Source organism: Homo sapiens, chromosome 20, assembly GCF_000001405.40.
Source record: "Homo sapiens chromosome 20, GRCh38.p14 Primary Assembly".
In the NCBI taxonomy this organism is placed as follows: Eukaryota; Metazoa; Chordata; class Mammalia; order Primates; family Hominidae; genus Homo; species Homo sapiens.
Genome location: NC_000020.11, coordinates 29,315,822 through 29,327,441, shown reverse-complemented (window position 1 = coordinate 29,327,441; position 11,620 = coordinate 29,315,822). Strand labels below are relative to the sequence as shown.

The window sequence follows — 11,620 nt, the reverse complement described above, 5'->3', positions numbered from 1 at the left end:
CAAGAAAAAAAAAACACGTCTCAGGGCTCCGTTGGTTTTCCCGCGTGGGTGGCCCTGACCCCCTGTTCTACCCTGGCCCAAGCACCCTCCACCTCACCCCGGCCTGCTCAAAGTGCCCTGTCTACCTGAGCAGAGCCTCCCTCTCCAAGGCTCTGTCTCTCTCTCTCTACAACTCCCTCACCCTCTCTCTTTCTCTACTTCCCCCTCCAACTCTCGCTCTTCTGTCACCTTCTGTCTCTCTCCCCCTCCATTTTTCTCTCTCTCCCCCCATTTGTATCTCTCCATCCCAGTCTCCTTAGCTCTCTTTCAAGCTGTGTCTGTGTCTTTGTCTGTATGTCCTTGTGTGTGTGTCCGTGTGTGTCCGTGTGCGTGTGTCCATGTGTCCGTGTGTGTGTCTTTGTGTGTCCATGTGTGTATGTCCGTGTGTGTGTGTCCATGTGTGCCTGTGTGCATGCACCCATGTGTACCTGTGTGTGTGTCGGGATGGGTTTGCTCGTGGTAGTGGTGGGGTGTGTCTGGGTGTCCCTCAGCCCCTCTTTCCCGGGGATCAGGCTGCCAGGGCTCTAGTGCCAGCGCGTGGCAAAGCAGTGCCTTCCTGTCCCGTTGGCCACTGGTAGGTCCTCTTCGGGACAAGCGACGATGGTGTGGACCTTGTGAGAAAAAGGGCCCGCAGGGCTGGGCTGCTGTTCGCCCCTGGGCAGCCCTGACGGCTCTGGGTGTGTGGGCCAAGAGGGGGCCTTGCAGGAGGGGTGCGAGGGATCCAAAACAATTTTTCCGCTGCAAGGCGGAAGACCAGAGGGGATCCCAGGACTGTGGGCCCCGGGCCCTGACGCCTGCAAGCACACCCTGTCCTGAGCCAGCCAGATGTGTTGGAAACTCAGGAGCTCGCGAGCCGGGGGAAGGCCTGGAGTGCCAGCGAAAGGGAGGCCGCCTGGTGGGCCTTGAGCCTGGGCAGGGGACTGAGGCATCACGGCCTGATGAAGGATTCCTGTTTCCTGCAACATGGGGAGTCTCCAAAGTGGCCTGTTTGGAAACCAAAGGAGAGCGAAGACACGATGCTGCTTTTCCACGCTTCGCTGGAGGTTTCTGTGCCCCACAGAGCTCGGGAAACAAACAGTCAACACGGTCACGCTTTCGGGGGCCAGAGACACGTGAGCAGCAGGCCCACTTGCAGAGGGCAAAGGAACGTGGAATCCGGAATCATGGTTCACTCGGCTTGAGTGTGACTCCTGTGTGGATGGGAGTATCTGCCTCGCGCTCTGTTGCAGGCTCAGCGTGGGGATATGTCATCTGTGAACCATGTGGATGAAAAACGGACAACCATTCGAGTCTCGGCTCTGTTCTTTGGGGAATTCGCTCATTCCTTGGGAGGCGGAATTCCTCTGAATCGCTCCCGGATGAAGTAACCCAGGCTGGCAATCCCGAGGGTCGGTGAGCGCACCGCCAGCCGACGAGGCTGTGGGCTGAGCACTCAGCCTGCACTGGGCACCCAACATTTTCCCGGAGTTCGAAGTCCTGCTGGTCCTGGAGGCAGAAGACTGTTTTTCTCTTTGCCTTCCTTTCTCTGTTTCTCGCTCTTTTTCTCCCTCTGTCCATCCTTCCCTCTGTTCTTCCTTCTCTCCCTCTCTCCCTCCCTGTCTCCCTCCCTCCCTCTGTTCTTCTCTCCTTCCCTCTTTCCCACCATGCATACCTCCCTTTCTCCCTCCTTCCCTTCCTCCCTTCCTCTCTTTTTCTTTCCCTCCCTCCCTCCCTCCTTCCCTTCCAAGGTCCGTCCTTTCCTCCCTCTGTCCCTCTCTCTCACTTTGTCTCCGTTCCTTTCCCCATCTCTGCCTGGCCTCCCTCCCGCCTGGAAAGGGCAGAACCACGGTTTGCGCGAGATCTCGGGGTCTACATTTAGTTGCTGGGCGCTCCACGTGATGCCGAGGAGGATGGCAGGGCACGGGTGGGCGAGGGAGGGTGGAGCGGGGAGGTAGTGGAGTTGAGCTGCGGAAAGGAGAGCAGGGCTGGCCGCTGCCCGGGTCGGTATTTCCCGGGATGAAGGTCTCCGCCTACACCACTGAAGAACATGGGGGCAGGGGGGTGTACTGCGTGGGGGGGCGGGGGAAGGGATGAGAGCCCTGCCTGGGCTGATCCCAAACCCTAGCCAGCTGCCCGCGGACCTGCGCATGCGCAGTAGACGGCCCATCTCTGAGTACCTGGGCTGGCTCTGAAATCCTTGGGATGCTCAGGAAAGAATGACAGCCCTCCTTTCTGTGGAGTCTCTCGCCGGGCCTGGACTCAGGGATCCTAGACAGGTCAGCTGGAAGGGAAGACACAGGTCTCCATACGGAGCCAGAGGTTCACCACGAAAGAGGAGCCACCGCCCTGCCCCCACCCGGTCCCAACCCCCGTCCTAAAGCTCCTCCAGCTGAGCCCAGTGTTCTTCCTGGCTGAGGAGTGGTTCCAGAAAAGCGGGCTCTTCCAAGTCCTTCAACTCCCCCAGCGGCTCCATTGCTAGGAAAGGTTATGCCTTTTGCTGAAATTCTGGGGTCGACAGGAACTCATATAACAGGGTGGATGCGAGTACAGATGAAGACTCCAGCTCCTGGAGCCGTTGGGAGGGTGCCTGGATGGCTTACATCTGCTTCTGACACACAGAGGCCTCCATGAGCGCGAGCTGCGGAGGTAGATGTGCCTCCGCTTCGCATTCCCACGCGCCCTGGCGACCTGTGGACCCTGGCCCCAGCCCCAATACGGACTCATGTGGGACGTGTGAGGCGCAAGCACACCTTGAGCCTCAGTGGCCCAAGCTATCCCATTGAGCTCGCACCCAGAAAGCCACCGTACTGCGGGTCCTAGTCCTCCTGCCATCTGTTCGGATGCAGAGGTCACCCAGGTGTCTGAGGGTGGGACAGCGCCACTTCCGAAGGAGCCAGGGCAGCAAACCCAAAATCCCCGTGTGCCACGGCAGGTTGGGAGATTCCTTCTGCTTGCGAAGCCTGGCTGGGCTGCAGCAGAGGGGCGACCCTTGCTGTCTGGCTCACGAAAGCCCCCTGTTCCCCACGCCCTGGCGTGGGTGAAGGTGACCAAGGAGAGAGGGTGGCACCCGCTGTGGGCCGCGTTGCACAGGCCGCCTGCGTGCGCGAGTTCCCTGCCACCCTGGCCTGGATGCCTGGACCTTCGATTCTGACACGAAATCTGAATCCTGGACTCCAAAAGGCAGGTCTCTCTGGCCAGTTCGGGTACGGGTTCTGCTCAAAGCACGCTGGCAGGGCATCTTTTTCATTCAGGTTACAAACGAGTCTCCTTTGCCGTCCTCGTTCTCGGGCTTCCGCGGGGAAGGGGCTGTCAGAAGGTGTCGGGAGAGCCATCACGAGGGCACCTGGCCGGAATTTCATGGATAGACACGGGCAGAGAGAGGCCGGCGGCTCCAGTGCACCTCAGTTGGCCTCTGTGTTGCACGCAGGTCCAGGCAGGAGTCCAACCCCGCCAGTGGCCCTTATAAAGACCCACCAGCTTCACCCCTTCATGAATATGCATGAGCACCCAAGGGCCCTGGGTAACCCGCCCTCCGAAGGTCCCAGAAACCACAGACACAGGGCCTTGTGTGGTAGGTGAAGGTGGGGCCAGATCGGCAGGGAAAGGGGGGCTTCTGGGGCTGGCTCTCTGAGTTCTCCACAATTCTACAGAAACTAGAAGTTTATCTCTGGGCTCACACAAGATTTCAGGGAGAAACCACCCTGGAAGGGTGGAGTGTGGAACTGAACCTCCATGATAGTCTTGAGTTTTCCAGACCCTCTCCCTGAAGGTGGCAATGCCTGTGGGTGTCGCCGTTGCCATGATAGTCTCACACACGCAGGTGTGTGGATCTCATTCATTTTCTTTTTTTATTTTCATTTTTTATTTCTACCTCTTAAAGTCAATGATAAAGTCACAAGTGTAAAGTGATTGCATTTAAAAACATAAAAGATGCATTTCAATGACAAGAAATATGCAATGATCATGAAAATCTACTGTACACTTTGCCAAGGTCAAAGAATGAAAGACAATATTGAAAAGCCATTCTTCAAATATATCCTTAACAAAAACTCTCTCCTACATAGTAAAAGCATCATCTAAACAGCAGCTCCAACCAAGAAAAAAATAAAAAATAAAAAAAAAATAAAACAGCAGGATAGATGGGACAGATAACTTTCCCCAGGTTTTCCAGATAAAAACATGTGGTCACCAGGAATTCAAGGTAACTTCAAAAGCCACATTTAATTGAAAATAAAATGAATATTTCTGACAGATGACAACAGCATGATACTGATTTTTTCTTTCCTAGATACAAATGATATGGGGCATTTCTTAACAGTTTAGTAATCATCTAAGAATAACTGTAGAAATAATCCCAATTCGACCATCCCAGCCACTGGTATAAAACAAATAACCTTCCATTGATACTGTCTTTCACATAACTAAAATATCCTCACTTACTTGGAACAGTTTCATGCTTACACATGATCACAAACACTTGTTTTTAGATGTTGTGGAATTATTGGAGCTGAGATTTTTGAAACAATATATGAATCTTAGCAGAGAGCAAATAATCCTTTCACCATACATTGATTGGGCTTCCTTAACCAAATCTGAGCAACTACTATAATAATAATGCTAGTGGTAATCCCTGATACTCTCAAATTTTTCCCTTTAAGAAATATATAATCCATGTAACTCTAGCAAATACGTTGCATTGCACACTTTCTTAACAAGGAATGGCTGTTTTCAGGCCTTATTAGGAAAACAAAGAAACAAACAATGGCAGTTACTACCTGTTTTTTTATCACCGGTAAGCTACAATAATGCTCAAATATGACAGTATAATTGTATGATATTAAGTAAGAAATGAAAACCATTATAGTTTTACCAAAAGAAACATAAAAAAATATAGGAAGAAGTCAAATGAGCATGGCGTAAGTCCCAAAGATTACACTATGATTCTGAACAGGATTTTCTAAACAAAGGGTATCTACATACAATTTCTGTGAATATTTCTTGTACTAGAAATATCCAAAGCAAATGTAGGCTCAGCCCTACCTTGTCAAAGATAAATATTCAGATAAACTAGAAGTTCCATCTGCTAAAGTGCATACACTGAGCAGCTCTACCATGGCCCTGCTACTTACAGCCGTCTAAGAAAGTGGCTTTACTCATGCTCATTCACTCGTTCTGTGGCCTATCAAGAGTCACACATAACAATGGTTTTGCTTTTTTAAAAAAACAAATACTTTATACAGTGAAATACAGAAAAAACAATTCTAAATATACTTTAAAAATTCTAGAGAGTTAAGGTAACCTCATTTTTTAAAATATTGAAAATGTAAAGGGTCCATATAAAGAGTTGTATTAAGTATATATTTCCTATTTTAATAATTCACTTGCTGCCCTCTTAAAATCTCTATGAGAGAAGCAGATATTTTACTCATGTCTTTTGGCAAGAGATTCAAAAGCAAAAGTAGCAGGGCTGTAAAATTTCATAAAATTTGTGGGATTTTTTAAAAGCTAAATTATTCAATATTTTGAATTGTTATTGCACTCATATATTGCCCGGAATATATATACAGCAACCCAGCAATAGTGATTGCAACAAAAGTAAGGTAAATAGATCTACAAAGCATTTGATTTCCTTATTAGATAAATGAAGTTTTCATTTATCTAATAAATTCAGATCAGGTTACATAAGCTTAACAATTATTTAAACCTTATATAAAATTAAATCTAACCCTCACCCCTACAGTTCTGTAAGGAATCACTGTCAGGAATCTACAGGACTTGGCTCGTATTTACATTCGACGCACACTTAGAAATTTCATAAATGATGAGATGCAGGCCAAGGGGATTCCTCAAAGGGCTCCACCCAAAAGGAAAAGAAAAAGAGTTAAACAGAGAATTACCACTTACGTATTTGTGGGTAATCAGCTTATTCCTCAGCCTCTAGACAGTGAGGAGGATGAAAAAATGGAAGAAGATAACAAAGAAGAGGAAGAAAAAGATCACAGTGAAGCGATGAAGCCAGAAGAGCCACCTCAAAATTTACTGACAGAAAAAATCATGAAGCTGACTCTCCCTGAATCTTTAAAAGCTTACTTGACATATTTTAGAGACAAATAACTTAGATCAAGAAGAAAGAATGCCTACTGATAATTCCTTTAGTCTTGAAAATGTAGCATTTGTTAGGAATTAAAAGAATTATTTATTTCATCAGAGCAAATTATAGTGGAAAAAATATCTACTTGTTACTGTCAGTAACATAAATGATGTATTGAGTGAATAAAAGAATCCCTTTTGTAAAATCTATTTTTCTTTAAATCTTGGAAAATTGTTGTTTCGCCTCAGAGTGATTTCAAAGTGGAATGTAACAGTAGTCAAGACTTGTGTGCTATAAATCCTTTTCTGATTCCTTACGGATCTCGTTCATTTTCATGTAGAAAACGAGAGCGAAACTACAGAGAAAAGAAACACCCGGTGCATCACGGCCTGACGATGGATTCCTGTTTCCTGCGACATAGGGAGTCTCCACTAGGACCTGTTTCCAAACAGGAAACTGGAAAGGAGAGCGAAGACACGATGCTGCTTTTCCATGCTTCTCTGGAGGTTTCTGTGTCCCCACAGAGCTCGGGAAACAAACAATCAACATGGTCACCCTTTCGGGGGCCAGAGACGCATGAACAACAGGCCCCCTTGCAGAAGACAAAGGAACGTGGAACCCGAAACCACGCTTCAGTCGGCCTGAGTGTGACTCCTGTGTGTACGGGACTATCCACCTCGCGCTCCGTTGCAGGCTCAACGTGGGGCTATCTCATCTGTGAACCACGTGGATGAAAAATGGACAATCACCCGAGTCTCGGCTCATTGCTCTCTGGGCAATTCGCTCATTCCTTGAGAGAGGAAATTCGTCTGAATCGCTCCGGGATGAAGTAACCCAGGCTGGCGATCCAGAGGGCCGGTGAGAGCCCCGCAGGCCGACGCGGCTGTAGGCCGAGCACTTAGCCTGCACTGGGCACCCAACATTTTCCCGGAGTGCGAGATCCTGCTGGTCCTGGAGGCAGAAGACTGCTTTTTTCTCTGCCTTCCTCTCTCTGTTTCTTGCTCCCTCCCTCCCTTTTTCCCTCCGTCCCTCTCTCAGTTCCTCCCTTCTTCCCTCCCTCCCTCCTTCCCTTTTTCCCTGCGTCCCTCCCTCAGTTCCTCCCTTCCTCCCTCCCTCCTTCCTTCCCTCTCTCCTTCCTTCTATCCCTCCATCCTTTCCAAGGTCCCTCGGTCCATCCGTTCTTTCCTCCCTCCATCGCTCCCTCCCTCTCTGTCTCCGTTCCTCTCCTCCTCTCTGCCTGAGTTCCCTCCTGCGTAGAAAGGGCAGCACCCTGGTTTTCACGGGGTCTCGAGTCTGCATTTAGCTGTCAGGCACTCCAGGTGATGCCGAGGAAGCTGGTGGGGCAAGGGTAGGCGAGTGACGGTGGGGCGGGGAGGCAGAGGTGGCGAGACGCGGAAAGAAGAGCAGGCCTGGCGCCTGCCCGGGCCAGTGTTTGCCGGGATGGAGGTCTCCGCCTGCCCCACTGAAGAACGCGGTGGGGGGCAAGAGGGATAGAAAACCTAGGCTACTGCCTGCTAACCCGCGCATGAGCAGTAGACAGTCCGTCTCCCGGTACCTGGACGGGCCCTGGGATCCCCGGGATGCTCAGAAAAGAATGACAGCCCTCCTCTGAGTGGATCCCTCACGGGACCTGGAACTCAGGGATCCTAGGCAGGTCAGCTGAAAGGGAAGACAGGCCTCTCTATACCAAGTCAGAGGTTCACCGCGAAAGAGAGGCCGCCGCCCTGCCCCTACCCCGCCCCAACCCCCGGTCCTAAAGCTCCTCCAGCAGAGCCCGGTGTTCTTCCTGGCTGAGGAGTGGTTCCAGCGGAGAGGGCTCTTCCACGTTCTTCAGCTACCCCAGTGGCGCCGGATCTAGGAAAGGTTGTGCCTTGTGCTGAAACTGTGGGGTTTACAGGAGCTCATCTAACTGGCTGGGGGTGAATGTAGACGAGAGCCCCGGCTCCTGGAGCGGTTGGGCGGCGCCCGGATGGCTTGCATATGTGCTTGACGCGGAGGCCTCCGGGGTCTCGAGCTTCGGAAGTGGAGGTGCCCCGTCTTCCGTTTCCCACGCAGCCCTGGCGACCTGGGGCTCCAGCCCCACCGCGGACTCCGGTGGGACGTGGGTGGCGCAAACACACCTTGCCCCTGTGACTCAGCTTCAGAGGACCCAAGCTGTCCCACTGAGCACGCGCCCAGCAGGCCACCATGCTGCGGGTTCTGGTCCTCCTGGCATTTGTTGGGGTGTGGAGGCCACCTAGGAGTCTGAGGGTGGAACAGTCCTACTTCTAGAGGAGCGAGGGCAGCGAACGCAAAATCCCCCGCGTGCCGGGGTAGGTTGAGAGATTCCTCCTGCCTGCGCAGCCTGGCTAGGCTGGAGCGGAGGAATGGCCTTTGCTCCCTCGCTCACGAAAGCCCCCTGTGGGAGAGCCCCAGTCGTGCAGGGAATGTGGGGTGTGGGAAGCCCCGTTCCCCACGCCCCGGTGTGGGTGAACTCGATTGAGGAGGGAGGAGGATGACACCCACCGGGGGTGTTAATTAGTAAGCACAGTGGCCTCAAAGAGCTCAAATGAAAGGAAGAATTGCATGTCTCTCACTTGAAGTCCAGAGCTAGAAATGATTAAGCTAGTGAAGATGTAAAATTTTCATCGCTAGAGAGACGTCAACACTTGGCTTCAAAACTTCAAAGGATGGGCTGACTCTCTTTGAGGACCACTGCAGTTGGTGACTTTAAGTTACAGCCAATGCTCATTGACCACTCTGAAAATCTCAGGGCCCTTAAGAATTATGCAAAATCTATTCTTGCTGAGCTCTAGAAATGGAACATCACAGTATGAGTGACAACACATCTGTTAAGAGCATGGTTTACTGAATATTTTAATCCCACTATTGAGACCTACTGCTCAGATAAAGAAAAAAAAGAAAAAAGAAAAAAAAAAACACGATTCCTTTAAAGGGATTGCTGCTTGGCCAGGCACAGTGGCTCACACCTGTAATCCCTGCACTTTGGGAGGCTGACGTGGGTGGATCACCTGAGGTCAGGAATTCAAGACCAGCCTGGTGGAAATGATGAAACCCTGTCTCTAATAAAAATACAAAAAAAAAAAAAAAAAAAATGAACCAGGCATGGTGGTGGTACCTGTAATTTCAGCTACTTGGGAGGCTGACGCAGAAGAATGGCTTGAACCCTGGAGGCGGAGGTTGCAGTGAGCCGAGACCATGCCACTGCCCTCCAGCCTGGGCAGCAAGAGGGAAACTACATAAAGGAAAAAAAAAGAAAAGAAAAGAAAAGAAAAATGTAAAAAGATTGCTGCTTATTGACAATTCACCTAGCTACCCAGAAGCTTAGATGGAGATGTACTTGGAAATTAATGGCTGCTAATACAATATCTATCCTTCAGCCTGTGGATCAAGGGGTGGTTTTGACTTTCAAGTGTTTTTATTAAATAATGAATGCATTTTGTAAAGGTATAGCTGTCATAGATAGTAATTTCTTTGATGAATCTGGATAAACTGAATTGAAAACCTTTTGGAAAGGTTTCACCATTAATCCCTTCATGATATTCCAACCTATTCCCATGAATCACAAATGTCCTTAATAGCAAATGCCATTAAGGACATTTGTGGTTGTGGGAGGAGATTGAAATATCAACATTAACAGGAGTTTGGAAGAAGTTGATTCCAGCCCTCTTGGAAGACTTTGAGGGCTCAGGATGTCAGTGGAGGAAGTCCCTGCAGATGTGGTAGAAATCGCAAGACAACCAGAATTAGAATTAGGGCCTTTAGATGAGGTTAAATTGCCATAAACTCATGATGAAACTTGAGCAAGTGGGGAGTTGCTTCTTATGGATAAGCAAAGAAAATATTTTCTTGAGATGGAATCTACTCCAGGTGGAGATGCTATGAACATTGTTGAAATAACAACAAAGAATTTAGAATATTCCATAAACCTAGTTGATAAAGCAGCAGCAGGGTTTGAGAGGGTTTACTCCAATTTTGAAGGAAGTTCTACTGTGGATAAAATGCTATCAAACAGCATCACATGCTACAAGGAAATCTTTTGTGAAAGGAACAAACTTCATTGTTTTAAGAAATTGACACAGGCACCCAAACTTCAGCAGCCCCCACACTGATCAGTCAACAGCCATCAACATAGAGGCAAGACCCTCACTGTAGAGAAAAGAAAGAGAGATCAGACTGTTACTGTGTCTATATAGAAAGGAAAGACACAAGAGACTCCATTTTGAAAAAGACTTGTACTTTAAACAATTGCTTTGCTGAGATGTTATTAATTTGTAGCTTTGCCCCAGCAACTTTGCCCCAGCCACTTTGACTCAACCTGGAGCTCACAAAAACATGTGTTGTATGAAATTAAGGTTTAAGGAATCTAGGGCTGTGCAGGATGTGCCTTGTTAACAAAATGTTTACAAGCAGTATACTTGGTAAAAGTCATCGCCATTCTCTAGTCTCAATAAACGAGGGGCACAATGCACTGCAGAAAGCCGCAGGGACCTCTGCCATTGAAAGCGGGGTATTGTCCAAAGTTTCTCCCCATGTGATAGTCTGAAATATGGCCTCATGAGATGAGAAAGACCTGACTGTCCCCCAGCCCGACACCCGTTAAGGGTCTGTGCTGAGGTGGATTAGTAAAAGAGGAAAGCCTCTTGAAGTTGAGATAGAGGAAGGCCACTGTCTCCTGGCTGCCCCTGGGAACTGAATGTCTCAGTATAAAACCCGATTGTACATTTGTTCAATTCTGAGATAGGAGAAAAACTGCCCTATGGGGGGAGGCGAGACATGTTGCTCACATGTTTTTTGCTGACCATCTCCTTATTATCACCCTGCTCTCCTACCACATTCCTTTTTGCTGAAATAATGAAAATAATAAGCCATAAAAACTGAGATATCTCAGAGGCTGGTGCCGGTGCATGTCCTTGGTATGCTGAGCGCCGGTCCCCTGGGCCTACTGTTGTTTCTCTATACTTTGTCTCTGTGTCTTACTTCTTTTCTCAGTCTCTCATCCCACCTGACTAGAAATACCCACAAGTGTGGAGGGGCAGGCCACCCCTTCACTCACCAGCAAAAAGATTATGACTTGGTAAGGCTCAGATATTCATTAGTATTTTTCAGCAATGAGATATTTTAAGATAAGATATGTACACAGTTTTGTAGACATAATGCGATTACTAATTAATTAATTAATAATTAATTATTAAATACTCATTAGACTGCACATAGTTTAAGCATAACTTTTGTAAGCACTGGGAAACAAAATGTTTATGTGACTAGCTTGATTGTAACATTTGCCTTATTGTGGTTGTCTGGAACCAAACCCACACTATCTCTGAGTATGCTTGTAGGTTATTGGTTGTTCTTTGTTTTGAGATGGGGTTTTGCTCTGTCACCCAGGCCAGAGTGCAGTGGCATGATCATAGCTCACTGCAGCCTCAAACTGCTGGGTCAAGTGATTGTTCTACAACAGCCTCCTGAGTAGCTGGGACTACAGGCATGCAGCACTAGGCTTGCCTTTTT

The 11,620-nt window shown here is 48.8% G+C and overlaps 3 pseudogenes, besides 1 other annotated feature; 1 reads left to right on the top strand and 2 right to left on the bottom strand.

Annotated features, from left to right (window-relative positions):
* Positions 1-11,620: part of a centromere (Linear centromere model derived predominantly from reads generated in PMID: 17803354. This region does not represent an actual centromere sequence, as long-range ordering of repeats and unmapped WGS contigs is not provided by the model. For details of model production, see http://arxiv.org/abs/1307.0035.) that runs on past both edges of the window.
* Positions 2,393-3,350, bottom strand: DUX4L33 (double homeobox 4 like 33 (pseudogene); annotated as a pseudogene).
* PCMTD1P7 (protein-L-isoaspartate (D-aspartate) O-methyltransferase domain containing 1 pseudogene 7) lies at positions 5,774-6,430 on the top strand (annotated as a pseudogene).
* On the bottom strand, positions 7,677-8,620 carry DUX4L32 (double homeobox 4 like 32 (pseudogene); annotated as a pseudogene).